We start from the raw sequence: 23,980 nt of genomic DNA on the forward strand, positions 1-23,980 counted from the left end.
GAGCTCCCAGGGGCCAGGCCCAGCGGGCCTCCCTGCTGCCAGCTCCCCCCAGCCATGCCCACCCTAGCCACAGAACACGGCCCCAGGGAGCCTGGTCCCAAGGCCATAGCAACCAAACCCACGCGGTCCACACAGTTCCTAGCAGGGTCCACGTCGGCCCCTGGCTGCCTGAGAGCCCTTGAGGGTGATCGATGTCGAGGGCTCCTTTCCCAGGCTCTCGAGTCAGGAATTGCTGCTCAGCACCCACACATCCCGCAGGTGCAGGGGGAGGGCGCTGGAGGGACGAGGGTGGCTGAGTTGGTTCTTCTGGCCCGGAGGGAGCGGTGAGAGACGCAGGGGCCCGGGGCCATGGGGTCTGCGGGGCGGCTGGCACTCGTTGCCTACAAGGTCTAGAAGCAGCGCAGGGAAGGGCTCCCGCTCTGGGCTCCCCCCATGGGAGGAGTCGGGAGGGGCCCCTGCTCCGAAATAAAACATCGCAGATGGCTCCGGCCTCTTTTAAAAACTCTATTTGGTGCGTGCCCACGGTGCTGCGTCCCGTCAGACATACCTGTATAGATCTCTCTATTTATATATATATATATATAAAAGGTTCTTTAGCAGTTAAATAGATTCCAATATGAACGTCTCCCAGGACAAAGCTGCGTCTCGCCTCTGGGTCACACGCATCTGTGCGGCTGGGGTGTATGTGCCGCGTCACAGCAGTACCATATAAATACGTTGATTTGAACGCAGTTTCCCTGTGGTGGTAAAAACACATTCCTGACAAGTGACAAGCAGAAGAGTCCGGCAGCTGCAGCGCCTCACTCGGCTGGGACCTCGTACTTGAAGATGACGCTGAAGAGCCGGCCGCCCAGCCGCTCGGCCAGCCACGCGTTCTTGATGACGGCCAGCTTGAGGCTCTCGCAGCGCAGGGCTGCGTGGTAGTTTGTGTGGACAGCACGGCCCATGCCCTCGATGACCACCAGATCCGCGCCACGCTCCCGCACCAGTGCGGCCAGCCCCTTATCCAGGCGGCTTTGGGGAGGAAGAGGACGGTGAGACTGGGCAAGCAGACCCCAGACCCCACTTCCCATACAGTGCGGCGACCAACGTGAAGGCTGAAACCCCTACCGCTCAATTCCCTGATGTGGAGGCCTCCAAACCCAGCCTCCGCCTGGTAGCTGCCTCAGCCTGGGGCTTCCTCAGAGCAGCAGCTCACACAGGGCCAGAGCAGCTGCAGCTTGGAAACTCTGCCCTAGATCTCCTGTGAACTCTAGGGATGGATTCCTTGTCATTTTCACGCCCTCCTTGTTGGTGAGAGTGGGGCTGGGGCACAGATGAAGCCAGCACTGGAGAATCCCACCAGGCAGAGCAGACCAGCGGCCCCAGCACTCAGAACCCGCTCATTTAAGGGGTTCCTTCCTCCTCTGCAATCAGGAGGACAGACAGCACCACATACAATTGACTAATGACCTCCAGAACCACAGAAGCAGAGCCTGGCATCTATGTGGGACACGGAGGTGACAGACACCGGGCAGCTGCCCAGGTCGCCCTCGGTCTCAGCTGAGTGGCCACAGGGACATTGGCCCCTCTTGCCCCAAGTCCCCAAACCCAGCCCATGTGTAACCACCTCAGACCCTGAATCCATTCACCCTCCCCAGGCCACCTTCGGGGATGGCATATCTGTCCCCTCCTGAGATCAATCCGGGCCTGGGGTCAGGAGAGGCCGCAGGGGCAGTCCTGAGGTCGGTGTCCCGCATGCACCTGGGTGCAGGTGCACGGCACAGAGGGCACAGAGCCCAGGAGGGAGAGAACAGGTGCAGGGTGCGGGGTTACCTGAGGTCGAGGCACGGGGAGCTGGAGCCCGTCTGCACCAGCAGCAGCCTCTCTTCCTGGAGCGCAGAGCTGCCAGATACAAGGTGGTCAGTGCCCCCAGGAGCTCCCAGTTCAGTGACAATCCCCATGGCCCACTCTGCCCAGCTGGTGCCCCTCCCCATCAAGGCCCCCCCAGCACTGCCCGCCAACACTCACTGCACGACAGGGTCCATGCCCGCAATACGCTCTGCCACGATGAGGGACTCGCTGTGGGTCACGTCGTTCAGGGCGGGGCCTGAGTTGCACGCCAGGATGACCTGCAGGAGGAGGGCCCAGGCTCTTTAGGAACCTGTGCTGGCCCAGCATGGAGCCTGCGTGCACCCCGGCCTTCGAGTGGCTGGGCTGGGTGAGGGTGCTGTGCCCAGCGGGCCTGGCCAGCCACCTGCTGCTGAGGAGCAGGGACCTCGCCTGACCTTGCCACTCTGTGGCCCCTGGGAGGGAGCTGAGCCGAGGGGCAGAGCTGAGTTTAGAGCCTGCCCCTGGGACCTGCCTGTCTGTGAAGTCACAGCCCCAAAGCCTCCTTGCTGTGAGCACCCTTCCAGGAGCCTGGCGTCAACCCTGGGCTTCAGCACATGGACCCTCAGCCTGAGCCCAGGGGGCTCGGAGCCTCCACCCCAGCAGATGACGGCTCTGGGCCGCCTCCCCCGTGCTGCTGCCTGCACCTACCTGCTGCGTCCGGAGGAGCCCCGACCACCGCCAGAGGCCCACAGCGGCGCCAACCCCACCGAGAGCAGAGAAGCCCAGGGGAAGGGCCCCACCCACCACCTCAACACTCACCTCTGTCCCTCTAAGGAGTAGCTCCCTGACAAAGGGGAAGACTCCCAAAATGATGTCTATTCCACTGTTATCTGCGAAAATTAAGGCACATTTATGAGGGGGCCCCTGTAAGACAAAACCAGGACGTTCAGTTGGGAACAGGCGCATCCAAGCGAGTCAGTCCGCACCCCTGCTGCCCGTCACGCTGCCCTGCAGGGGCCGAGACTGGGGGCTTCAGGGCCCCAGAGATGCCAGGGATGGGCTGTCCTGCAGGGGCCGAGACCAGGGGCTTCAGGGCCCCAGAGGTGCCGGGACTGGGCTGGGCTGCAGGGGCTGAGACCGGGACTTCAGGACCCCAGAGGCACCGGGACGGGCCAGCCTGCAGGGGCTGAGACTGGGGCTTCAGGACCCCAGAGGCGCCAGGGACGGATTGGCCTGCAGGGGCCAGTGCCTGTCTCTTCTGGCAAGGCTTTGTGCCTAGAGCAGGTGACCTAAGAAGCAGTCACGACAGGAGGGCAAGTGTGGGGCAGGGGATGCTGAGACCCTTGGCTCGCAGGATGGTGAGACTCTAACAGGAGGGGAGGGCCACCCGAGGCAGCCCATGCCCACCTCCCTCCAGTGACCACCCCCCCGGGCCCCGCTGTGTCCCCAGCAGCAGAGGTGGGAGGCCCCTCCACATACCTTTAATCTCTGAAGCCACTCGCTGTAGGAATCCACGAGCCAGGGTCTTTCTGAGACAGAGAGAGGGACACATGATTAGCCCGGTGCTCCAGGTCAGGGGTCAGGGAGACGCGTCTTCAGGTGTTCGTCTCTCCAGGAAGCAAGTTCTCCCCGCCCCCGAAGCCCAGCTGACAGAGCCTTGAGCAGGGGAGGTGCCTGGACCCCGACCGCAACTGCATTCGCTGTTGCAGAGAACGTCCAGGCATGGCCCCAGCACAAGGCAAGGCCCCAAGTTACTTGGCCATCCGTACCTTGTAACTTCCTCTTTGCTTCTTCAAACCCAAAGTAGGGGTCGGATTCAAGGACACTGCATGGAGGAGGAGAAAAGAAAATTAAGACAACAGAACAAAAACCTTCAGCCACAGTGCTCAATGTGAAGACCCCAAATCCCTCCCAGGCGGGACAGAGGCAGCTGCTCAATGTAAAGATCCCAAATCCCTCCCAGGTGGGACAGGGGCAGCTGCTCAACGTGAAGACCCCAAATCACTCCCAGGCAGGACAGAGGCAGCTGCTAAGACCCCAAATCCCTCCCAGGTGGGACAGAGGCAGCTGCTCAACGTGAAGACCCCAAATCACTCCCAGGCAGAACAGATACAGCGTTCTTAACATGCTGCGATCCGCAGAAGGCTCAGGGGGCCACCAAGCAAAGGTCTGAGAGAGCACAGGCTGTTTCTCAAGGTGGACTCGGAGCCACGGGGCCAGGGAAGCCTCTCGGTGACTGGCAGCCGCAGTATGGTCCCTGTGCTTGGCACCCATGCAGGCGGTGTGGGGAGCCCCCAGCCACAAGGCCAATCCCATGGGTCAGGACCCTCCTCCAATGCTCCTGACAGGCTGCGGGAGGGGCCTGTGTCCCAGAGGGGCAGCCATGGTTGGAGGCGGCGTTCTCATCTATGTCTCGAGACACGAGTGGGACCCAGGGAGGGCTGAGAACCCAGGCATTTCCCTCCAGCCCCACATGAAAAAAAGCAGGGACCACGAGAGGTGGTGCGGCCGCCTGGGGAGGCCCAGAGACTGGAAGCAGCTTCTTTGGGAGTGAAGGTAAATGATGGTGGGGGGGTTCATTTTCAAGATTCAGAGCCCCAGGAGACGGCGCCAGGTGCTAGACACCTGCGTGTCCTACAGGCCAGTCTAGGGGACTGCTTTGCAAAGCACCCTTTGATCATCACATCAGAAATGTTTAATTCCTACCACACATAGGAAACATGAATTTGGATTCTGACAATAGAAAATGCCAGCCCCGATTTTCAAATCCACACCCTTAGGCCTCTGCGGCACCCATGCTTAAGGAAGGGGCCTCCTCAGAACCTGAGGGGACAGACAAGGGCGCTGCGCCCTGCCCAGCCCCTGGCGCTGCTGCCATGTGCACTCCCTGGGCCCCAAAGCCCTGAGCCACCAAGCCACCAAGCGCCACGTGACCCCCAAGGGACCCGCTCCACCTCCTTGCCCGCAAGCCTGGGGCAGGACAGGCACCCACAGGCTGCAGAGCCTGCTCCGAGCCCGCAGACACCTACGCAGACACGGCTTTGGCCCCCCAGTCGAAGACATTCCCCGCCAGGAGGCCTTTCACCAGCGCCAGCTGCCGTTCCTCCCAGCCCAGCGCGTCCAGGGAGCGCACGACCCCGGGGAAGCACCTCAGCGCCACGCCATTCTCCCGCTGCTTCACCTGTGGAGAGTGCCAGATGCCAGGCCTGAGTGAAGACGTGGCCTCAGCCCACCCTGGACACCTGCCAGGCGCAGCCTGTTCCATACCACGCCCCTCAGGATCGAAGACTCAGGCCCAACTGGGACCCCACCAGGCACAAGCCTATCGGTCCGGGACAGTGGCCAGCGCACAGCTGCACGGGGCTCTGAGGACGAGGCCCAGGACAACTTCAGCCCCCATGTGACTGAGCAGTGGGTGAAGGGCAGGACAAGAGTGGAGGACACGGCCCCCACAGGTACCCACAGCCCTGGCCTCAAAACCCTCGACACCCAGACTTCCGCTGTCACAAGGCTCGGCGTGTGAGGGGAGGGAGGCATGGCGCTGGCCCTTCCCAGAAGAGGTGGGAGGAGTCCATGCCTCCGCTGCTGCCCGCTGCCTCCTGGCAGAAAGGGCCAAGGAGGGCTCTGGCCGCCAGACTTGGGGAAGCAAAACGGACGCCCGGAAAGGCCCACCTTGCACGGCCCTGCACGTTGCCGGGATAGGAGGCCTCTGGTCACTGTCCAGCCTCCTAGGAGGGAGCCAGGGTGGTCCAGGGTTCCAGCCCCTCCCCATGAGGGGAAAGCAGTCCCCAACCACAATCGCCCACCCTCACAGAAGCTGGGAGGCCCTTGGCTCCTGCAGGCAGGCAGCCTGTGTCTGTCAGGAACACATCCAAACTGGGGTTCACACCCTTCTTCTCTAGTCACAGCAGTCCCCACCCCTAAGTGGCCCCAGCATCTGTGGGGGTAACACAGCTCCTCAGCAGATGCTGCCAACAGAGGCCCTGGCTATTGTGGTGCCAGGGCTGGAGTTGGGGCCGCTACCAAACCTGCATGGCCTCAGACAGGACAGGATGCCCCGAGCCAGCGGGACAGAGACAGGACACGCGGTGCCAGCGGGACGGGGACAAGAGCGAGCGGAAGGCCAGGGCACACTGCACTTACTTTGGAGTAGGGATCCGGGAAGTTGAACTCGTTCAGACAGTGCTCCCTGGTGTCCAGCAGGCTGCGCACGGTCAGGGTCCCATAGGCGCTGGGGACAGACACGGCAGAGGGCGCTGAGCAGGGCAGGCCGAACACCCGCCCGTCTGCCATCCTCGGCTGTGCCACGGACGTCCTCAGGAGCCCGGCAGTGCAAACGCTGCTTGAGGCGGGGTCCAAGGGGGCTGTGCCGCCAGGGCCCACACCCACCCCCAGCGAGCTGGGGTCCGAATGCCAACATCACGGCACTTTCTCAGAGGTGCAGGGGCCCTCTGGATGGAAGAGGTGGCCACACACCGGGGTGCTGGGCACTTACAAGGGCTGCTGCCTCAGGGTCTGAAGCTTGTTCCAGTACTTCTGCCGGAACTTCTCCGCCCTCTCGGCTGCATCCACAGAGTCTGGCTGGCTCGCCACTGCGCGCTTCACTACCTGCCAGCGACAGAAGGAGGGGGTTAGTCAAGCGCTGGCCCTGCTGCTTGCGAATCCCCACGTGACAGCAGGGGGCTCGGGGAAGGGTGGGGGTCGGCCGTGGGGGACTGTCTGGGGCAGGGTGGGGGCGGCTGTAGGAGGCCTGGTGCAGGGTGGGAGCCGGCTGTCGGGGGCTGTTTGGGGCAGGGTGGGGGCTAGCTATGGGGGGCTTCCCGGGGCAGGGTCAGGGCCTGCTGTGGGGGACTCGGGCAGGGTGGGGGCTGCCTGGGCTGTGGTCAGGGCAGTTTCTACTGGAACAGGAAAGGCTGACGGTGACAGTTCACGGTCACCCGAGGCTTCCCTTTGCCATTCGCCCCTCCCAGTTGCCCTGGGAGGCAGGAGCAGGAGTGACCTTGGTCCCTCACCCCCCAGGAAACCCGAGGCCAAGACCCACGTCCTCAGACTCGAGCCCCCATCCTGTGCCGGGGACGAGGGGCTCTGGGCACTCAGAGCTCACTCCGGGTCCTGGGCAGGGCTGGGACTCCTCCCTCAGGACAAACCCTGGCACGACCCGGCCTCTCCGAGGGCTTCGTGAAGAGTGCGTGTTGCTACCGGGGCTCCCTGGCCCCGAGCTGAGCTCCTGAGGGGCAGCGTGGCCCAGGGCCTGGCATTTGCTCCACGGGACCAGCCCAGCCTTGGAGAAGGTGGGACGCAGGAGTCCCAAGGTGGCCTCGCCGGGAGCTTGCTGGGGCTGAGTCTCACCCCACCCCCAGAGTCAGGGTCCCACAATGCCTCCCGCACCTCAGTCACACCTCAAAAGAGCAGAGACGTCTCCTAAATTGCTTTTTGAAGGAATGTGCTAGCTAGCAGAACTATCAGCTGCCCTTAGAAGCAACGTGCCTCGCAGACGCCACGTCCTCACTGACCCACCAGGTGGCCAGGAGCGGTATTTTTGCCTGAGAAACCAAAATCGCCCCCTCACTCAGACGCAGATCAAGGGGTTTCTGGACAACACTGGCCTGTCCCCCTTCGCCACCTTGGCTTTGCCCCCGGAGCCTTGGAAGGTTAACCCGGCTGCGGCCTTGGAATCGTCTAGACGGCACCCGGAGCCCTCACCCCGTCCAGGGCCTCCTCAAAGCAGGTGAGCCAGTATTTTCGGGCCAGAGCGTCATCGGTGAGGTCCACCGTGTCGGGCACGTAGGAGGGCGGGTCCAGGAGGAGCGGCAGGTCAACCAGTGGCCTCTCCAGCCGGTCCATTTCCAGCAAGTCAAACTGGAAGACAGGCAGTGGCAGGGTGGAAACGTCACCATGGTTCAGAACGACCCAAGCCACACTCAGAAGCTTCCACTCTCTCTCTAAGAAGGGAGATGTACTGCCTTCTTCCGCCACGTCTCTGGGCCACAGACGAGACCCCCACTGGGCCCCCTCAGCTGCCCGGCGGCCTGAGCCGGATACCTTGACTTACCCCCTGGTTTGACACTGGGGTTGCGTCTGCTCCCACCACACGCCTCCTGCCCCCAGCACCTCCCCGCTGCAGCCACACCTCCCCAATCACCGCTGCAGTCACCCTCCCATCACCCCTCCTCCACCATCCCTATAGTAACTCCCTCCCCCATCACCACCTCCCTGCAGTCACCCCTCCCTGTCACCCCTACAGTTTCACCTCCTCCCGTGACCCCTGCAGTCACACTGTTCCCACCTCTGGTCCTCCAGGTGGCCGTGTCTGCACACAGAGGTTTGGGGTTCTGTCCTCACTAAGCACCAGGCAGTGTTCCACTCCGTGCCGGGCAGGGAGTCCCCACGCCCCACATGCACCCTTCTTCCTCCATGGCTGCCGGGCCTCCCAGCACGTTCTGTCCATGAAGGACTATGGCAGGGCCAGGCCATTATGCACCCAGGGCACCCCGGGGCCACCTGCACCCAGCACAGGCGCGCTCACGGGCCCTGCTGGCTTTTTCTACCTTATGCCGGGAGGAAGTGAACTGAACTGAGCCGACGCACACATCAGTACTCGGCTCTCTGCACGCTCACCGCAGCAGCCGCTGCTCTGGGACCAGAGGGGCTATGAGGGGAACTGTGTAGCTGACCGCCTCTTCCCACCCTCCGGTGGCTACCCCACAGGTCACATGCTGGCCCTCTGCCCTTCTCCACTGGGGCACCCCTGCTGGCAACCCCTGGGGCTGGAGAAGCAGCCTCTGGGTGGGCAGGGACCTCCAGAGCAAAGGGGACGCCTTCCAGGTGGGAAGCCCATGCCGGGCAGAAGCTCCACGTGGAAAAAGCCAGTGACTTCCCAAAGCCAGTGCAGAAGGCGGCAGGAGCCCCACCTTAACTACCACGGACCACAGCCGGGATCGCCTGGTGCTGCCTTGCCAGGTCGCAGGCTCCTTCTATCCTGACAAATGGGTTCAAATCTTCGCTTTGACTTTTTTGGACAATATAAACTGAAATAAATGACTCCATCTCTCTGCATGTCAGTTTGATCCTCAGTAAGGTGGGGGCCCCTCCTGCCTGGCAGGGCTGTGCCACTGGTGGGGTACCAAATAGGTAACAAGCGCCTCCTGAACGGGGCCCCCGAAGCACTGTGGCCGTCCACGCAGTCACTCCAGGTTACAGTCCAGGACATTTGGCAAATTATGCACACTTGGCAAATCAGAAACTGAGGCTGGAAGACACCAAGCCCCTCTGCCCAACAGCAGGGCAAAAGCTGAGAGCCTGGGGCTCTGCCAGGCCCCCAGAGCCTCGCCCCCACTCCCCTGCCTAGTGCTGGCGGTGGGAAAGGCAGACCAGGGCTGCGGCCAGTGTGGTGCGTCTGTGCGAGGCCGTGGCCTGGTGTGAACTGCAGGACCCACACAAAAGGGAGGCGCCCTCCTGAGAAGCCAAAACTCAACAAGTCGCGGTCTTGAAAATACTGACACTGAACCCCATGTCTACAAATGACAAGCAACTTCCTGCCAACAATGCCAGCGGCCTGTCCTGAGGGGTCCGACTAGCTTTGTGCGTGACCTCAGGTTAACTGCTCACAGCTACAGAAGGAATGAGCCCCGCGGGGGGGCACGGTCGAGGACCCTGACAGCCTGTGACACGGGGCGGTTCCTGCCATGTGGGGCTGTGCTGGGGGCATCCCGTGGCTGACGCAGGTCCTGGCGGGGGACCCTTCCGGAGCAGCTCCAACTCGGCAGACATGGGGTGCGTCTCCTAGCCCGCCAGTGCCACCCAGCTCAGGCCAGGGCAAACCCACTGGGGATCCAAGGAATGAGCCGGGACACCCCGAGGAGAGCAGACTGTAACCGACAGACCATCAGCCACAGTGCGCGGCAGTGTGCGGCAGAGCGCGCAGTCCTAGGCAGGGCCCTGGGTGGCTCCTGCGGTTTCGGGTTTCAACTCCAAAGTGGACGGGCCTTCTGGCGTGGGGAGAGGTCCCCGTCACCCCTGAACTTTAGCAATCTCTCTGCAAACAAGAAGGCCGGATCACACAGACTCCGTAATTCCTGCTGAATGTTTCCAAAATACGAAAGCACCCAATGAGGGAGATGGGAAAGCAAGCCACAGTGTCCTTCTCTTGCCCCTAGTTATACCCCAGGTCCATGGGAGGATTCGCCATGGGCAGAGGCGCCTTTCAGCCGGGACAGCCACAAGAGGCTTCGCTCAGGGACAGGCGAGGTGAGTGCGGCATAGGCTGCTCCCCTGGGGCCCGGGGCGGCCAGAGCCCACTACTCACAGTGCCACTCCGCGCCCGCTGCGCCGGGCCGAGCTCGGGTGATGCACTCATCAGCCCGGAGCTGCCTGCATAGTTCTCTCCCCAGCTGTACTGGTTAGGATCTGGAAAGCAAGAAGCCAGGTCACTTGTGTTAACCTTGCCCTTGATTCAAAAGCAGGAGAGTGGAGGAGGAAAGGGTATAAAATCGCTTATTAACTAAATTGTTAAAATGTTAGACATGCCTGCTGCTGTCACTTTCTGAGGACTCACGCTCCCCACCCCACCTCCACCCTGGGCCGCCCTGGCCTGGAGCACAGGCCCAGGCCACAGCTGAGGCCCCACGCTGCTCAGGGGCGCCAGCACCGCGACTCACTGTCCTGCTCAGCTCCTTTCAGGAACGCTCCGATGGCTCCCAGGTAGCCTTCGTGCCTCAGAAACAGCGCCTGCACTTCCCCCTGCCGTGGCCAAAGCACACGTGCTGCTGTTGGCCCCACACAACACCCGGTGCCTCCGCAAACCAGCTCAACGTGCGCGGGCCTCGCACCGCGCGGCCCAAACCCTCGAAGAGGCGCCATGGCACCCACGGCATACTTGCCAGTGGAATCGCGCCTGGCACCAGAGGGCGGGCTGCTGTTTGAAGAAAGCTAAGGGTGAGATAGCTTCTCCCATGCAGCGAGTCCCTGGCCCACAAGTCTCTGCGTCAGGCATGTGGGTGGGCGTGCCTCTGCGGGGGCAGGGGCACCCTGACCCCAGCGCAGATCAGCAGGCCTGCCTGGAGCTCTCTAGAATGCTCATCACTGGTGATGTACTCAAACTCAGGTGGCCACGGTGCCACAAAATGTAGGCTGCCCAGAATCAGTCAGAAGGGAGGGGTGCTGGGCTTCTTGGCCCCCACCCTCCAGGCCTCCCTGGGGGTGCTGCGGTGTCTAACCAGCATGACTGATTGGGAAGATCCTGGGGGGTCTGCGTTAGAGGCTGGGGAGGGCGGCGCATCCGTTACCTTGGAGAAGAAGTTGATGCTATAGGTGATGGTGCGCATGGTCACGGGGTGGCCCCGGATAAAGAAGCCTCCAAAGTACACGCGGTCCAGGCTGTGCAGCCGTGCGTGGAGGCAGGCCAGCTGCCCAATGTCGTTGCTGATCATGTGCAGCAGGCTCTTCGCCATGTCTTCTTTGGAGAACTCTGAGGAAGGGAAGGAAAAGGCACTCATCTCCAAGTACAGCAAGTGCACGACATGAGAGCGAGCAGGAGGGGAGGGGGAGAGAGAGCTGAGTGGGAGGGGAGGGGGAGAGAGAGCTGAGTGGGAGGGGAGGGGGAGAGAGAGCTGAGTGGGGGAACTGGAGCCCAAGTGCGGGAGGCTGCGTGTGATGTGTGAATCATTCCTGGACGGATTAAGCTTTGTTTTGAAGGAGGAAAAAACCCAATCAGGAAACTATTTTTTCTTCCAAAACCAAGACCGTGGCGTTTATCTGCCGACGTTCTGAGCAGTGGGCCTGAGCTGCAGCGACTCGGCAGGAAGAGGTTACAGGGCTGACACCCAAGACCCCGACTCTCCAGGGAGCAGTTGTGGGAAAGCAATGGTGGGGGAAGCTCCTGTCCGTGAGACCCCAAGTGTCCCCACCATCCTGCTCTCTGGCGGCAGAGGCCGGGGTGAGCACCTTGGTCGGCGGTGGCCGACTTCCCGAAGCTGCTGGCGATGAGGTTCCCGCTCAGCCCGAGAGTCTGGTGGGCGCCGCCGTAGACGTCCCGCACCAGCATGTCCACATTGCTGTGCTGGCCCCTCGAGGCCAGGTGCAGGAGCTCGTCAAACTTCTGCAGGACACGGCGAGGGGGCGGGTGAGGCGCCAGGAGCTGCTGGAATCCCCACGACCCCAGAAACCAAGCCCATGGCAGGAGGCACGCGCGGGCAGGGGGTAAATGGGCCCTCATCGCGTGGGACCAAAGGCAGGAGGCGGCAAGCGGGACCCTCGGGCCACCCAGCCAGGATAGAAGCTCTGGGTTGCTGGGACACCCAACCCTCAGGGCGCAAAGAGTGAAGCCGCAGAGGCCAGAGACCCACTGACGCGAGTCAGGAGGGAGGCCCGGAAGCAGCTTTTGCACCGCCCAGCTGCAGGCCTTCGGGGGAAGGAAGCAGACATCTCCGCAGACCCCTGGAAGGTCTCTGGCAGCTGCCGCATACCTTCGTTTTGGTGAGCAGAGCGCCAAGCCCCCAGAAGGTGCCGCCTCCAATGGAGCTGCCGCCGACCCACTCGAACCTGTCCTCCGTCTCCACCTGCAACAGAGCCAGGGCAGGTGTGCCCTCAGTGGGCCCTCAGCCACACAGGCTCCCCCGCCCCCCGCCCCATGTGCTGCGCTGGGGTGAACCCCGCCCCCACCCCAACCGCCAGTGGGAGGACTCTCATGGCCAAGCCTGGGGGCGCTGATGCCCCTCCCACAGAGGCTCTGAGCTCACAGCCTCGCCACCCCCCTCCCGCCCACTGGGCCCCATCCATGTGCCCAGCCCTGGCTCCTGCACACAGCGAGGGCTTAACAAACTATGGCTAAACCATCCACTCATTCATTCATGAAGCCGGGTCTTACCTTCACGATGGAGACTCCAGAGCCGATATTGACAAGAAGATAGGGGAAAATGTGGGGGTGGTTGGTCTGGAACCGGAACTCAGGGTCGGAATCCTTCTGGTACACGAAGGCCTCATGGGGGATGTTCTTGAGCACGAAGTTGCACCCCTTAATCAGGCACGTCATCACGTCCTCCTTGTCGACTCTGAAAAGGAAGCGCCAACCCCTTAAAGAGTCTGGGCCACAGACAGGTGCAACCATGCAAGCCTGCCTGGTCCGAAGGGGCAGCCATGCCCCATGCGCAATCTGACACACGAGCGCCAGGGACGCGGCTCTGGGACACCCAGGGACTCGGGGGCAGACACATGTTCCTTTCTCGCCCTTGAGATCCCCACTCACTTCAGCCGCAGCTTCTCTTCGATGAGGTCTTTGAACTTGTAGGCCCCGCCCCCGGTCGCCTGGATGACCTTGGTCTCTGTGTTGACGAGATGGTCTTTGATGAAGTCCAGGCAGGCTTCGATGTAGGTATTCTCAAACTTAATGAAGTGCAGTCGAGCAGTGATCTCTTCTTGAACTGAAATCTCATAGGGCGGCTCATGTTCACGTTCTGTGTCCTGGAAAACAGAGTAGGGGAGGCCGCATGTGTGTGGGACACCGCGCCGGGCTGGGCTGTGCGCACCCTGCCCTAGTGGAGCTGGCTGTTCGCGCCAGCCTTCAACCAGGCGGCGCTCTGAGGCAGAATCCTGGGCAAGAGGGAGGAGCCTAGGACCGTGGCGACCTCAGGGCCACCCAGCAGGAGCGGAAGCCTCTCCCGGGGGAGCACAGGCGGGCGCAGGTTCCTACAAAGGGTCTTGAAGGGACACGGCGGAAGGCAGGGGAGGCTGTCCCTGCTAGAAACTCCCAGGACACTAAAGTCGAGGTCTGCAGCAGCAGAGGGATGACTGCGAGACAAGTGCCAGGTCCAAGACGACAGAGAAGCGGCTGCCCTGCCCCGGGTGGCCACAGTGCAGGCTCACCTTTCCGGAGTGGTCGAAAGACCGCACCTTGGCGACTTTGTGCTGTACCGTTGAATAGTAGGCCAGCTTGGTTAACGACCCGCCTGCAGGGGAGACACAAACCGGGCAGGATTCAGGACCAGGACACAGCGGGGCCTGGGGGTCCATGCCCCACACTCTCTGGGTGTCCTGGAGACTAAAGTCTCTGTAGATGAGGGGTTTGGGGCTACTGGAACTTAAAAACCCTGTGGGCACAAAAGAGAGGACAGGAAAACGAACAATCAAATCTACACTTTTCTTTCTCAAATTCTGCTCCTCCTCAGCTCCCTGGCCAAACTGAGCTCAAGAGGTCCCGCTTCCCCTTGGCACCAAGTCCTGCAGAGGAAAGGGAGAGCTGTCTTGCTTTGGGTAACCTTGGTTATCCTCACTGCTTTAAGAAAATTCAGTTTCAAGTGATCTTGCTAATGACCCAAAGCGATAAGCTGACAAATCCAGGCTGTTTTCGTTTTAAGAAGTACACCCTCGACCGTCCCTGCTTACAAAGGAGGCTCTCCTCACAGCCCAGGGCGGTAACGGGGCCTGAGCAGCTCCCCTACCCTGGAGAGGCAAACGGTGCCGCTGGCTACTCTTGAGAGGCTCCAGGCAGAAAATGCAGCCCCAGCCCCAAAAGTAGCCAGAAGTCAGAGGCCACCAAAGTCCGTTTCCCCACAGGCCAAAGTCTCTCTGATGCTCTCGAGAAGCCCTGTGGCTTCCAGGATGCCGCCTGTGATCAAAGGTTGAATAAATATCAGGAAATGGAAGGGGCTCTATGTACCTGAACCAGATTTCAGGGAAAAGTGAAAAGATTCTTGAAGAAGGCCTTTTCAAGGACAAATTCTTCTAAGTTAAAAAAAAAAACAGACATTGTTGAGGCTAGAGTTGTATTCATAGATTTGAAACAACATGAATGACAAATAGAAAAAGAAACAAAATGTGACTTTGAGTGCATTGCGCGGTGCTACAGTGACTTAACAGAGGGCACTGTGTGTGTTATAGTGACTTAACGGAGGGCACCGTGTGTGTTATAGTAACTTAACGGAGGGGACCGTATGGTGCTATAGTGACTTAACGGAGGGCACTGGATGGTGCTATAGTGACTTAACGGAGGGGACCGTGTGGTGCTATAGTGACTTAACGGAGAGCACTGTGTGTGCTATAGTGACTTAACAGAGGGCACCGTATGGTGCTATAGTGACTTAACAGAGGGGACCGTGTGGTGTTATAGTGACTTAACGGAGGGCACTGGATGGTGCTATAGTGACTTAACACAGTGCATTTCTTACAGGGCCTGACAAAAAGAGGCAAAAATCCCACATCATGAGAGTAATGAGGCTAAAGTTATTTTCAAATTATTGTTTTTTGACAAAATACTATAAGGATGTCTGAGAACAAGCACTCAGGTCAGTAAAAAGATTTGGAAACACCAAGCAAACAGCCAATGCTGTTCATGTAGCAAAACCCACCGTGTCCAGGCCCCACAACAGCCATCCCAGGGCACCTCCTGCCTGGTGGTGAGGGCAGGCTCCCCGACGGCTGGCGTACAGTCTGGTGGACGCGTCACAGGCTCAATCTGATCCCCTAGCCTGTGGCTTTAAGCCTCCTTATCCCCTCCCCTGCCCCCAGTGCTGGCCGGGCCCGGAGAGTCTCACTAACATGCACCATGCCGCCGACTCACCTCAGTAAATAAATCGTTTTCTAAAACGACAGATGATGCAAGAGGATGAAGATCTATTTTAAGAGACTCATCAAAAGTCAGTATAAACAAACTCTCAGGTCACAGAAATCCAGTTTCAGGCCCTGGGTTCTTTGTGTTAAATACATGCCCAAACAGGATGTACTGGGGTTGGGACAGAGGTGGGGGTGGGTTGGTTTCTGCAAGATACGCATCCTCCCTCCCTGAGACCCCTGCACGGAGAGGCCCAGCAAGGCCAGTGTTCCGTCTGCCTACTCCCCACACCCGGGGGGACAAAACGGGACCTGAGGCGCGAGGGGCACGCACAGCAGGGAGATCTGTTAGAGCAGAGGGAACCGCCTGCGGGCGGGGACCCTTCCGGGCTGAGCTCAGGGACCCCTCGGAATCACAGCAAACCGCGCCTGGCAAGGCAGTGACAGGAGTGCCTCCTGGCGGCTCTCCGGGCTGCCCGCGCTCGGCCCTGAGGCCAACAGCTGGTGGGGGAAGGGGGCTTCCCAGAGGTTTGGTCACCTGTGCTCTTCACATCTGAGCCATGGCCTTCTAGTTCTCCCTGTCCCACAGGCCCCATCCCCTCTGCCATTCTCTCTGGTCCTGTGTTTCCTCTTTGGGCACCAATGGAGGGCAGGACAGCCAAGCAGACACCACCGCCCCGTGGCCCCTTCCTGTCTCACCTGCCTCTGAGGAACCCTCCCCACAGCCCGCAGAAACCTAAAATCAGATCGAAGCTGCAGTATGTTTTGAGAAATACAACGTCCCTGCTGCTTTCAAAGAGGTGAATCTGCTCAGCAGACATCAGCGTCCCATCGAGAGGAAAACAGCTTGCCAGAACACAGGGCAGGTGAGCTTTCCTAGATCCAGACACAGGCAAGGGAAGAGGAAATGGGAGAAGCCTGCTTTTAAACAACACTGTTGACAAGCACTTTGGCTTTGAGGGTTCCTGGGTTGAAGACACCCCACCCTGAGCGTGGCCTCCCAGCAGCTCGGTCAGGAGTAACAAACAAAAGGTCTCTCAGTATCAGTCAACAGGTCCTCTTAAGAACCAGAGACACAGGACCCAGACGCAGGGAGAAACTTTGAAGAGGGGAAATAAATACCAGCACTAAACAGACCTCTTAGAGTATCCTTCTACCAAGAAACCCCCTGGGCTCAGCCTGGAGAACAGGCTGGTACTCCAGGGCCCTCTAGGGCTGCGACAGCCCTTCCTGGACAGCCCCAGCTCTGCGGCTTCACTGGCCTCTCGGGGCCACACAGAACATCCACGGTGAGCCCTGTTCTCCTGGCCATTCCCCAAGTGACTTATGCAGGTCAACTGCAATTGCATTTCAGAAACATTTAATCCCGACTTGCTTCCAGTAACAGAATCCCCCAGTGTAAGGGCAGCAGAACCTTGCAGAGCACACGCTCTACCGGGCCTCAAGGTCTCAGAAGGCTGGGAAGCATGGCTGGGGAGCCTCTGGTGAGGCCTGCGGTAGACAATCCCCTAGGCTAGGGCTGCAAGCTCAGCACCTGCAGCCCAATAACCAGTCAGTCCCAAGTCCTATCAGCGGTCCCTAAAGATGCTACTCACACGTTCTCATACCTGGCACCAGGCCACACCCCCTAAGAAGCATTGCCTCCCATAAGCTCACTGAAAGGTGGGAGCCAGGACCTATAGCTACTTCCATTCTCATCGCCCCCCACTTCCCTAGAGGACACCCTTCCCTGGCTGGACATCTCAGAGAGATGATGACACCAACAACCCCGAGGACACCACAGCAGCAAACATGTCAGATGCACCAGGAGCACACAGCTCAGAGGGAATGGCCTGGGTCTCTCTGAGTCCCAGCTTTTCCAGGGAGGTGGGAAGCAGTCAGCGGCAGGCCCATTCATCCCAGTATTTACTGGGCGGCAAAGACAGGTTGGGCATCCTTTTCGGGGGCTGGGGCTACAAGACACACCGCTGCTCTTGTGGGATTCACACACAAGCAGACTCAGCCTACGACCGAGATGAGTGCTAAGAGGGAGAGGTATGTGAAGCCGCAGCGGCTATTCAAGGGGGGTTTCTCCAGGTGAAGCTGCCCCCAGGAAGCCCTCATGCCTGAAACATGGGCAGAGTAGGAGAGCAGGGAGTGGCTGGTTCAAATCCTGGTTCTGCCACTTTCTAGCCCGATGACCCTGGGCAAATTAGTTCACCTTTCTGGGGCTTGGTATCCTCATCTGCGAAAAGGGAGTAATTCGCGTTCCTCCCCTAGAGGTGGCTGGGAGGTGTCCGGGAGTCAGGAGCGTGGGAAAAAGGTCTAGAACAGAGCCTGGCCCGCCGTCATTACTGAGAGCACAGCCATCAGGCAGGAGGGTCTGCAGCGGACCCTGGAGAGGCCAGGGCAGAAGTGCAGGCCGCCTTAAAGGCCACGGAAGGCACGGGTGGCTTTTAAACCAGAGGCACGAGTTCCCAGGTCCCACGTCCACGGCCGCCTGAACTCACGCCCGGCGTCCACTCTCCAGAGAGCGGGGCCTGTGCACGGACTGTCCGGCCCGCGGGCCACAGCTGGCCACGCCGCGGGAACGCGCGGCCTTTTCGGGGCCACTCTGCCAAGGGCTTCCCGCCGAGCTCGTCCTCGTCTCGACCAGAACTAAGGACCCCAAATCTCAGGCCAGCCACCAGCCAAGCGGCGGAGCCGGGGCGCCCAGATGCCGATGTGGCCGAAGACATAAAATTCCGCCGACCCTCCCACCTCGCGGCGGGTAACGCTGGACCCCGGCCCCCAGCCACCCAGGACGGCCGCGCGAACTACCAGGCCCGGCAGGCCCCGCTCTGGTCCCTGCGGCGCCTGCCGGTAGCTGTAGTCCGGCCGTCGCCCCGAGCCCGCGCATCAGCGACCCTGCGGACTACAAGGCCCGTGAGGCTGTGCGCGGGCCCGCGGACTACAAGGCCCGTGAGGCTGTGCGCGAGGCCCGCGCCCCCGCCCTTCGTCCTTCCCGCCGCCCCCGCTCGCCGGCCCACCGCCGGCGCCCCGCCCGCCCCCGCAGCCCGCGCCCGGCGCCCGGCCTGCGGCTACCTATGTCGATGGCGAAGCGCTTGGCGTTCTCCAGGTTGCGGAAGATCTCGTCGGGGGGCAGCGTGATGCTCTTGTCCAGACTGTCCCCGCTGCTCCCGCTGCCGCTCGCTCCACACTCCGCCATTTTGAAAGTGCCCGGCCAGCTCATCAGCCATGGAGATATATGCGCATATATTTGACTGCCAAACGCCCCCTCGCATAGATTATGTTAATGAGGCGCCGGCCCCGCCCCTTCCCTCCCCCACCCCCGGCCTCTGAGGTCTCGGCCGCTACAGGGCGAGCTAGGGCCAGTGCTGGGCAGGGGTCCGAGAGGCCCGGGGCTGCGGGCGGGCGGGCGGTTATCCTCCAGAGATCGCGCATCAGCACAGAACATCTGGACTGATGTTCTTTTACCGCGCTGTCCACAGGCTTAACTCAAGTGCTCTGAGCCCTGCTGAGGGAGGCCGCAGAGGCCGCCCACCTGCTTCTAAGGGGGCACGTGGGTCTGCAGACTGTCAGAGAGCCCTGCCCTTCAGCGAGTGCCTGCTGTAAGCTTGGCCCTGCACGCCAGGGCGAATGTGATGCGCTCTTTGCTAGGGTGACTCAATCCTGGCTTCCCAGGGGCGTGGGACTTTCAATGTTAAAAGTCCCATGCAAACCAGAGGAGTGGGGAACCCTGCCCCACCTGGGAGGAGCCCCAGCCTGGCATGCACCTGCGGGTAGGGAAGATGTGTGCTGTAATGGCGATCCGTGGAAAGTGCTGTGGTCGGGGGAAGCCAGGCAGGCTGCCTGTGGGCAAGACAGGTGCCTGGGAGGCTGCAGGAACAAGCCTTGGAAGCAGCTGGAGCCAGGACAGGGGTATAGGTGGGGCAGGCCAGGGTTCCAGGGTGAGTGGCTGGGAAGCCCTGCTGGCATGAAGAGATGCGTCTTCTCCAGAGGCTCTGGGCGCCTTGGGAAAAAGCCCAGTGTTGGAAGCAGACAGATCAGCCCCTCCCGGGTAACCCGGGGTCATTACTGCATGTCTCTGGCCCTCAGCCTCTGTCTGCACGTGGAGAATGCCACCAGCTGCCTGGCAGGGCTCCTGGGAGCACAGGCCTGTGGGGCGGCACAAACTCCAGGGATAATGCATCTGTGTGCGCAGGGCAAGCCTTCAGGGAGGAGGCATCCTTGCCTGTGTCTTCCAAGGGGGTGGGTGTGTGGCTCTGGAGGGGGAGCCTGCCCCAGGGAGGCCTGGGTGGAAGAGTGGAGCACACCCCAGGCGGCTTAGACCTCTGGCAGCTCAGACCCCTGGCAGCATGGTGTGCCATGGGCCAGGCTGGCAGGAGGTGCCCTCCATGAGGGGCGCCCACCTGTGTGCCCACTGAACATGCGGGAAACATGCAGGTGAATGGGGGCCTTCCCTGTCCTCTGCCCACCATACCCCGGGGCTCGGTAGGGACCACTGGCAGGCACTGGGTTGGTCTGGTGGGGGGACCCTGTCTAGACTGCCTGTGGAGTAGCCAGAAAGGGGCTGAAGGCTGAGCGGAGCGAGAGGGGCTGAGCAGGAAGGAGCAGGCAGGGCAGGCCCACACACGGGGCTACCATTCAGCGGGGGTGGGAATGCGGCCCACTCCGGCCCAATCCTTGCTGGATGGATTTTGCCCCTTGGGAGCTGGTCCCTGGGAGCCACAGGCCTCAGTTCTTGCAGACTCAGCCAACACCCTGTGGCCTGCCTAAAAATACATGCCCTTTCTGAGGCAAGGGATGGCCCCGTGCAGGCTCCTGCCAGGACTGCCAGATCCTGCCTTGGCACGGTGGCCAGCGGGCAGGTGTCCCCGGAGCCCATGCCAGGACTGGCGCTGCAGGCCGTGGGAGTGTGCAGCAGCAACTCGGGGCAAATGTTTTCTCCTGTTTGGCCCAGGGCCAAGCCCCTTTGGCTGTAGCAACAGATCTACTGCGGGCTGTGGCCCTGGGTCGCCTCTCAGTGGACACAGCCTAAGGTCCTGCGCTGTCACCTTGCCCCACCCCTACCTTCCGGAAGCTAGTGAAAGGCCTGGGCGGGGGGAGACCCAGGGCTCCGACCATGTCCACCCCTCCAGCCCACCTCCCCCTGCCCCTGCCCCTCACCTGCTTTCCCTCCATCCCTCCCTCCCCCTGTTCTTCCGGAGCAAGGACCCCACCCTTCTTCCGGGGTCCAGGGGGCCACTGGCAGGGGTCCCTCCCTGCTTAACTGCTACCATGGCCCTGCCCATTCCCCTTCACCCCTGCAGACCCGCTCCATGGCTGCCAAGGACAGGCGTGAGGCACAGCAGACGACACTGTGTTGGGGGCTGAACAATCAGATTTTATTATGGCGGCTTCGGAGCAGTCCCGTGGCTTCCACGTGACTGAGAGTTCAATTTCTGAGTACAAAGTCGTGCCCACACGCATCCACCCACACAGAGGAATCCTTTAAGGATCATAGTGGAGGCACCCACCCTCCCCAGACAGCCCACCGTGAGCCCCAGCCAGACCACCAGGCACACTCAGGAGCCTTTTGGCCATGGCCCTCAGGGTCCTGGACGCCCGTCCGGGGTGATCACTGTTTCCTATGAGGATACAGCTCGAGTTCGGCCTTCACAAAAGGCAAATGTGCCCGCGGCACAGCCCGCCTGCCAGGGGTACGCCCAGCAGCTACGGGCCCTGAAGAAAGTCCTCTACAGGCTGGGGGCAGCAGTGTGCGAGCCCCGGCACTACAAATATCATAGAACCCCGGGCGGCCGGGGACTTCCCAGAAGTCACTTGCTTAAATGCAAACACAGAACAACCCCATGGGGTCAGACACTTGGCAGAAGATGGGCCCTGATTGTCCTAAAACGGCAGGGACTCTGCACACACATTCTCTGAGAATGGGGCTCCTGCGGGCCGGCCAGCTTGGGGCCAGAGCCTTCCGGAGAAGGGCGCGTCCAAGCCCGGGGCGGACGACGGCGGGAAGGCGCTTCCCTACAGGCGAGAGGAGCAGGCTCGCCCTCTGGTCGTCGGGCCGCGCGCCCGCAGGTCCCGCCGGGTCACCAGGGCCGCCAGAGGCCGCAGGCGGGCTGGTGCGCGGCGGCGGCGGCGGCGGTGGCCTTGGCGGAGAGCGCGGGCGGGGGCGCGGCGCCCGGCGCCTTGGGCTCCTTGGCGGGCGCGGCGGGCGCGGCCGGGGGCCGCTGGAAGTGGTACAGCAGCTTCATCTGCGTGTCGCTGGCGGCGTGGAGCGTCAGGAACTGCACGGCCTCCTGCAGGCACCACGAGTAGCCTTCGCTGTAGTCCTGGTGCAGGCTCTTGGGGCCGGCGGCGGCGACGAAGGCTGCGGGGAGACGCGGCGGCGGTGAGCGGGCGGCGGGGCGCGGGGGAGCCGGGGCGCGGTGGGAACTCGGGGCGCGGGGGGCCCGGGCGCGCTCACCTTTGCTGTGCTTCAGGTAGCTGACAGCCATCTCCAGGATGTCGGCCTTCTCCAGCTTGGAGTTGGGCTGGTGCCGCGCGAACTCCTGCTCCAGCAGCAGCTTCAGCTGCTCGATGCTGCTGTTGATGCGGTCGCGGCGCATCTTCTCCACCACCGGCTTCCGCAGCTGCGGGAGGAGGGGGTGTCAGGCTGGCCCGGCACGGCGCAGGGACCCCCGAGGACCGGAGGCCGCGGGGACAGCGCGCCGGGCGAGTCTGGTACTTACTCGGTTTTTCTCTTTGGGGCTGAGCAGCTCCACGGCCACAGTGCTGGGGGCCATGCCTGGCGCGGAACAGGCGACGAGGCGACGCGGGGAGGCCGGGCGAGACGAGGCGAGCGGGCGCGGGCAAGGCCAAGCGCGTCCCGGGCTGGCGCGGACACCGGCCCCGCGCGCCGACGCCCTATATAGGCGCGGGCGGCGGCCTGGCGCCTGGAGTCCGGGCGCCGCGGCCGTTCCCACACTCCGCGGCCAATGGCCGGGCGGGCCGCACAAAGGCGCCGGCCCATTAGCGCACGCTAAATTGCCTGTGAATTGGCGCGGGCACAATGGGCGCTCCCCAAGGAGCAGGTGGGCCGCGCGGCACAATGTCCGGGCTGTGGGAACGCGCTCGCCCTCATTAGCATCCCGGGGCCTGATGCCGGGAGCCCCGCGCCTCAATATGCTGCCTTTTCCCAGGCCGCCAAACGGGAGGGGGGCAGGAAGGAGGGCCCCCTCCCCCGCCCTCCCCTCCGCTCCCCTCCCCTGCCTCTCCCCAGCGGCTTCCCACTGCTGGCTGGCAGAGGCCGTAGGAGCAGATAAGGGAAAAACTGTAGAATGAACAAGTGCCACGGCTTCCTGGGGGATGGGCACCTTCCCTGACTGGGACCTGCTGCCCCTCCAGGGGAGGGGGACAGAGGGGGCGACGCTCTTAGGATCAGTCCTACGTGCCTATATTACAAGCCCCCTGACTGTCACCTGGGACTCCTGACTTCTCCAGACCTAGAAAATGGGCCTTGTGCCTTCCTGGCTGGGCTCCGGGCAGCTCCAGGAAGCTGGGGCCCGTGCTCCACGTGGAGCCCGGCACCCGGCAGCTCTCCCCGCGGAGCCGGGCACCCGGCAGCTCTCCCCGCTTCCTGCACCCTGTCCTCCCAGGAGCACTGTAACCCACAGCAGCACTGGGGCTGCTCCACGAGCTGGCAGGTGTCCCTCAGGGGCCTCTCCCCACCCCTATCTGGCCAGGGATCTGACTACAGTGTCCACGCAGCTCGGGAGGCCTCGGCTCTTGGCATGCTTGCTGTGGCCACTGTTTATGCATGCCACAGCTCCACCTAGTCTCTCTGGCAGCCAGGGCACTTGTAGGGCTTGCTTTCCTCTGGCATTTTGCCAGTGGGTAGGGAGTGGGTGCCAGGTGGCAGACTTGAGGATCAGAGGCCATGCCAGCCCTAGCCCCCCGCCCCCAACCACCGGTCCATGGGATGAGCTAATAACCCCGGTACCTGGCCAACTGAGCTGAGTGCCCGCAGCCACTTTGAGGCAATGAATCCCACCCTGGGTCCTTAGGGGAGGGTCCCTTGGGAGACCCCCACCCCCTAGCCTGCGGTCACAGTTCCTCAAATGCTCTGCAGCAGAGACTAGGAGAGGATTCGGGGCCTGGGCTGGCTCCTAGAGACAGGTTGGGACCCTGCCGGGTCCTAGCGGAAGGGCCTTAGCCCCCAGAGCTGGGGCTGGCATCAGGGCTGGTTAGGCAGAGTTTGAATCCAGGAGTGGGGTTCCCTGGCCAGCTGGCAGGGTCCAATGAGGAGCCTTCCCCGGAGGCTCTCGGCAGTGACCCCCGGCTCTGAGTGACTCGCTTGGTGGGCCTAGCTCCAGGAGGTCCTCAGCACAAGGATGGACGGTCCAGGGGGCAGCCAGGACAGTGCTGGGACAGCAGGGGAAGACAGGACTTCAAGCCAATGCAGGGTGGCTCTCCCACAGGCCAGCCGGACACCATTGTGAAGGGTTAGGCTGGGAGGCTCCCAGGCAGAAACATCAGGTGACTTTGGAGGTGGCAGGAAGGGAGCCCCTATTCACCCTCGTACCCCCGCTGTACTCCCACAACACCTCCCTTGAAGGGGACTCATGCTCCAGGCTGTCAGAGGGAGGCAGTGACACTGGGGGCTGGG

General features: G+C 62.0%; 2 protein-coding genes across 6 annotated transcripts, besides 5 other annotated features; both read right to left on the minus strand.

Moving 5' to 3' along the window:
• Nucleotides 1-490: 490 nt before the first annotated feature.
• On the minus strand, nt 491-18,550 carry PANK4 (pantothenate kinase 4 (inactive)). 4 transcript variants are annotated; one of them, NM_018216.4, is made up of 19 exons: nt 18,418-18,550; nt 13,672-13,754; nt 13,055-13,269; nt 12,677-12,860; nt 12,276-12,368; nt 11,755-11,908; nt 11,097-11,278; nt 10,470-10,551; nt 10,118-10,218; nt 7,516-7,671; nt 6,308-6,420; nt 5,956-6,043; nt 4,842-4,993; nt 3,582-3,637; nt 3,292-3,341; nt 2,632-2,736; nt 2,011-2,111; nt 1,816-1,884; nt 491-1,014 (listed from the first exon to the last, which is right to left on the minus strand). In NM_018216.4, the coding sequence occupies exons 1-19, from the start codon at nt 18,539-18,541 to the stop codon at nt 801-803; spliced, it is 2,322 nt and encodes a 773-aa protein (NP_060686.3). In that variant the 5' UTR covers nt 18,542-18,550; the 3' UTR covers nt 491-800. The 4 variants fall into 4 exon arrangements, 3 of the variants coding, with proteins under 3 accessions (NP_060686.3, XP_047280262.1, XP_011540010.2); XM_047424306.1 differs by lacking the exon at nt 18,418-18,550 and adding an exon at nt 17,555-18,146; XR_241034.4 differs by lacking the exons at nt 491-1,014; nt 1,816-1,884 and having other exon boundaries at nt 2,024-2,111; nt 2,632-2,702.
• Nucleotides 15,270-16,057: an enhancer, noted in NCBI's record as "H3K4me1 hESC enhancer chr1:2454755-2455542 (GRCh37/hg19 assembly coordinates)". NCBI's record gives its function as "activates a minimal SCP1, AML or CMV promoter by ChIP-STARR-seq in primed H9 embryonic stem cells {active_cell/tissue: H9 hESC(primed)}" and the evidence as "EXISTENCE:reporter gene assay evidence [ECO:0000049][PMID:30033119]".
• Nucleotides 18,577-19,297: an enhancer, noted in NCBI's record as "H3K4me1 hESC enhancer chr1:2458062-2458782 (GRCh37/hg19 assembly coordinates)". NCBI's record gives its function as "activates a minimal SCP1, AML or CMV promoter by ChIP-STARR-seq in naive H9 embryonic stem cells {active_cell/tissue: H9 hESC(naive)}" and the evidence as "EXISTENCE:reporter gene assay evidence [ECO:0000049][PMID:30033119]".
• Nucleotides 20,019-20,739: an enhancer, noted in NCBI's record as "H3K4me1 hESC enhancer chr1:2459504-2460224 (GRCh37/hg19 assembly coordinates)". NCBI's record gives its function as "activates a minimal SCP1, AML or CMV promoter by ChIP-STARR-seq in naive H9 embryonic stem cells {active_cell/tissue: H9 hESC(naive)}" and the evidence as "EXISTENCE:reporter gene assay evidence [ECO:0000049][PMID:30033119]".
• Nucleotides 20,699-22,217, minus strand: HES5 (hes family bHLH transcription factor 5). 2 transcript variants are annotated; one of them, NM_001010926.4, is made up of 3 exons: nt 22,065-22,217; nt 21,800-21,965; nt 20,699-21,703 (listed from the first exon to the last, which is right to left on the minus strand). In NM_001010926.4, the coding sequence occupies exons 1-3, from the start codon at nt 22,116-22,118 to the stop codon at nt 21,423-21,425; spliced, it is 501 nt and encodes a 166-aa protein (NP_001010926.1). In that variant the 5' UTR covers nt 22,119-22,217; the 3' UTR covers nt 20,699-21,422. The 2 variants fall into 2 exon arrangements, with proteins under 2 accessions (NP_001010926.1, XP_005244808.1); XM_005244751.5 differs by having other exon boundaries at nt 20,699-21,965.
• Nucleotides 20,740-21,459: an enhancer, noted in NCBI's record as "OCT4-NANOG-H3K4me1 hESC enhancer chr1:2460225-2460944 (GRCh37/hg19 assembly coordinates)". NCBI's record gives its function as "activates a minimal SCP1, AML or CMV promoter by ChIP-STARR-seq in naive and primed H9 embryonic stem cells {active_cell/tissue: H9 hESC(naive and primed)}" and the evidence as "EXISTENCE:reporter gene assay evidence [ECO:0000049][PMID:30033119]".
• Nucleotides 21,974-22,477: an enhancer, noted in NCBI's record as "H3K27ac-H3K4me1 hESC enhancer chr1:2461459-2461962 (GRCh37/hg19 assembly coordinates)". NCBI's record gives its function as "activates a minimal SCP1, AML or CMV promoter by ChIP-STARR-seq in naive H9 embryonic stem cells {active_cell/tissue: H9 hESC(naive)}" and the evidence as "EXISTENCE:reporter gene assay evidence [ECO:0000049][PMID:30033119]".

This window comes from Homo sapiens, chromosome 1 (genome assembly GCF_000001405.40).
Source record: "Homo sapiens chromosome 1, GRCh38.p14 Primary Assembly".
Taxonomy (NCBI): Eukaryota; Metazoa; Chordata; class Mammalia; order Primates; family Hominidae; genus Homo; species Homo sapiens.